The sequence below is a fragment of the Homo sapiens genome, chromosome 4, assembly GCF_000001405.40.
Source record: "Homo sapiens chromosome 4, GRCh38.p14 Primary Assembly".
In the NCBI taxonomy this organism is placed as follows: Eukaryota; Metazoa; Chordata; class Mammalia; order Primates; family Hominidae; genus Homo; species Homo sapiens.
In genome coordinates this window covers 156004772-156008449 of record NC_000004.12, presented here as the reverse complement: position 1 = coordinate 156008449, position 3678 = coordinate 156004772, and the positions used below count along the sequence as shown (strand labels likewise).

The following is a 3678-nucleotide window of genomic DNA, read 5'->3' as shown; positions in this document are numbered from 1 at the left end:
CCCTGTCTGACATATCAAGGAAGAGAAAAGCAAAGCTATGAGGTAAAACGGAGTCAACCAGCTGCCAACTTTAATACATTTCTTTTATTCTCAATTGTCTTAGCTCACTTAGTGAAAAACTGCAGCAAAAGAAAAATAGTCCACTAGGGAAAAATAATGTTGCAAAGCAGTAAAGTCTTTAAATTTCAAAGGAAAAAAAGTTATGTATATTAAATAGAAATACTGGTATGTTTTTATCACAAATATGAGCTAATTTCTTTTTAAGCCTATATTCTTTCTTTTTTGTTTTATTCTTAATTGACACATAAAAACTGTACATATTTATGGGATTTAGTATAATGTTTCAATACATGTATATAATATATGATATTAGGACAATTAGCATATCAGTCACCTCAAACATTAATAATTTTTTATGGTGAGAACATTTAAAATCCTCCCTTCAAGCTATTTTGAAGTATACAATAGATTACTGTTAACTAAAGTCACCCTACTGTGAAATGGAACATTAGAACTTATTCCTCCTATCTAACTGTAACTCCTTACCCATTTCCCAACGTCTCCACTCTCCCCCTACCCTTCCCATTCTCTGGTAGCCACAATTCTACTCTCTACTCCTATTGGATCAATGTTTGTAGATTTCACATATGAGTAAGATTGTGCCATATTTGTCTTTCTGTGACTGGCTTCTTTCACTTAAAATAATGTTCTCTAGGCTCATCCATGTTGCCAGAAATGACGGGATTTCATGCTTTATTATGGCTGAATTTTATTTAATTGTGTAAATATTTTATATTTTCTTTATCTATTCATCTGTTGATAGGCACTTAAGGTTGATTCCATATCTTGGCTGATATAAATAGTGCTTCAACTAACATAGGAGTACAGATGTCTCTTTGACATACTGATTTCATTTCCTTTAGATATGTACGCACTAGTTGGGGTGTCTGAATCATATAGTAGTTCTATTTGTAATTTTTTGAGAAACCTCACACTGTTGTCCATAATGGCTGAATTAATTTACATTCCTACCAACAGTATATACGTTCCCTTTTCTCTGCATCCTCACCAGTATTTGTCATTTTTTGCCTTTTTGATAGTAGTCATTCTAACTGGGATGAGATGATATCTCATGGCGGTTTTGATTTGCATTCCCCAAATAATTGGTGATGTTGAGGATTTTTTTATATATACTCCTTTGCCATTTGTATGGTTTCTTTTGAGAAATGTCTATTCAAATCTTTTGCCCATTTTTTCTTTTGGGGGGATGGTACCAAATTTTTTTTATTTGAAGGAATGAAACTGATAAAGAACTTAAGTGGATGTTTTGGTACAACTTACAAAAAAAGGTAAAGGAAACCCCAGCATGCATGCACTGCCTTGGTGACCAGGGAGGTTACCCCATGGCTATGGGGAAATTAGCCTAAGGCTTAGCTCTCATTGTCACTGTCTCGGGGGGTGTGTTTGTCAAATACATATTCTGCCAAGCCAGATTTGGGTGCTCCCGTCTTGTGCAAGTTGGTCACTGTGGTCATCCAATTATTTGATGGATTTCACCTGCTCCTTCAGGTGAAAATCCATCCAGGACACATTTGTCTCCATTAAGTCACACAAGTGGAGGTCATTTTTGTCAGTGGCCAGTTTGTACAGTTCCAGTAGTGACTAATTCATGTTTTTCTCCAAATGTCATGCACCCTCCATCTCATTCAGCCAGCTCTCCCAGTCATCACAGTCTGGTTTCTTGATATCTTGAAGGAAGATTGGCCACCTCGTTGGTTCTGCAGCTTCATCAGTTCCCTTGGCATGTGCCCTCTCCTCATGAGATTGGTGAAGAAAGTATTTGGCAAAGTTATTCTAAGCTACATCATCGCGGTCAAAGTAGTAAGACATGGACAAGTAGACTTGGAGGTGTAGAGTTCCAGGTTGATCTGGCAGTTGATGGCAGCCTCTGAGTCCTGGTGGTAGTTCTGGCACCTGTGAGAACGCCGATCCTCATGGCGGGGCTAAGGAGAGGCCGAGGCCACAGAGGCTGCGCAGCGCTGGAGCCGGCAGGGGCCTTGGGGTGGTCCCACGGCGCGGTGAGGAGGTGCTGGAAGGCTGGCTGTGAGCCACAGGCCAGGGTGAAGGACAAGCCCTGGTTCCTCCAAGCACTGTTGAAACAGGAAACCGTGGACACTCTACGTGAAGAGCGTCTCCTCATTTTTCAATGGATTTTGTTTTCTTAGCTATTGATTTGTTCGAGTTCCTTATATATTCTGAATATTAATCCCTTGTTGGATGGATCACTTGCAAATACTTTTTCCCATTCTGTAGGTTTTCTCTTCACTCTGGTGATTGTTTCTCTTGTGTGCAGCTTTTTAGTTTGATGTAATCCTATTTGTCTATTTTTGCTTTTGTTGCCTGTGCTTTTGAGGTCTTATCCAAAAAAATCCTTGTCCACACCAGTGTTATAAAACATTTTCCCTCTTTCCTTCTAGTAGTTTTATAGTTCTGGATCTTACATTTAAGTCTTCAATCCATTTGAGTTGATTTTTGTATGTGGTGTGAAATGGGGGTTTAGTTTCATCATTCTGCATGTGAATGTCCAGTTTATCCAGTACCATTTATTGAAGAGACTGTCCCTTCCCCAATGTGTGTTCTTGGGACATTTGTGAAAATTAATTGAATGTAAATGTGTGAATTTGTTTCTGGTTCTGTATTCTATTTCATTGGTCTATGAGTTTGTTTTTATGCCGGTCCATGATATTTTGGTTACTGTAGCTTTGTAGTATATTTTGAAGTCAGGTAGTGTGATGCCTCTAGCTTTGTTCTTTTTGCTAAAGATTGCTTTGGTTATTCAGGGTCTTTTTAGGTTCCATACAAATTTTAGGATTTTTTTCTATATCTACGAAGAATGTCATTGATATTTTGATTAGTATTATATTGAATTTGTAGATCTCTTTGGGTAGTTTCATCATTTTAACAATATATTCCAATCCATGAACATGGAATATCTTCCCATTTAATTGTGTCCTTTTCAATTTCTTTCATCAACTTTTTATAATTTTTATTGTAAATTGATTTCACTTCATTGATTAAATATATTCCTAGATAGTATTTTTGTAGCTATTGTAAATGGGATTGCTTTCTTGATCTCTTTTTGAGATAGTTCACTATAGGCATCTAGAAACACTTCCTATATTTGTATGTTGATTTCATATACTGCAACTTTACTGAATTGGTTCATTAGTTCTAAAAGTTTTTTGACAGCACTTGTAGATTACATTGTCTGCAAACAGGGACAATTTGAACTCCTCCTTCACAATTTGGATGGCCTTTCTTTCTTTCTTTTGTCCAGTTGCTCTGGCTGGGACTTCCAGTGATATGTTAAATAAAAGTGGTGAAAGTAGGCATCTTTATCTTGTTCCACATCTCAAAGGAAAACTTTCAATTTTCTCCCATTCAATAAGATGTTAACTGTTACCTATAGCCTTTATTGTGTGGAGGTTCTTTCCTTCTATCCCTAGTTTGTTAAAAGCTTTTATCAGGAAGGAATATTGAATTTTATCAAATGCATTCTTTGCATCTATTGAGATGATCATTTGGTTTTTGTCCTTCATTTTGTTAATGTGATGTAAGGTGTTTATTGATTTGCCTGTGTTAAACCATTCTTGCATCCGTGAGATGAATCCCACTTGA

General features: G+C 36.9%; 1 pseudogene; it reads right to left on the bottom strand.

Annotated features, from left to right (window-relative positions):
* FTH1P21 (ferritin heavy chain 1 pseudogene 21) lies at positions 1270–2194 on the bottom strand (annotated as a pseudogene).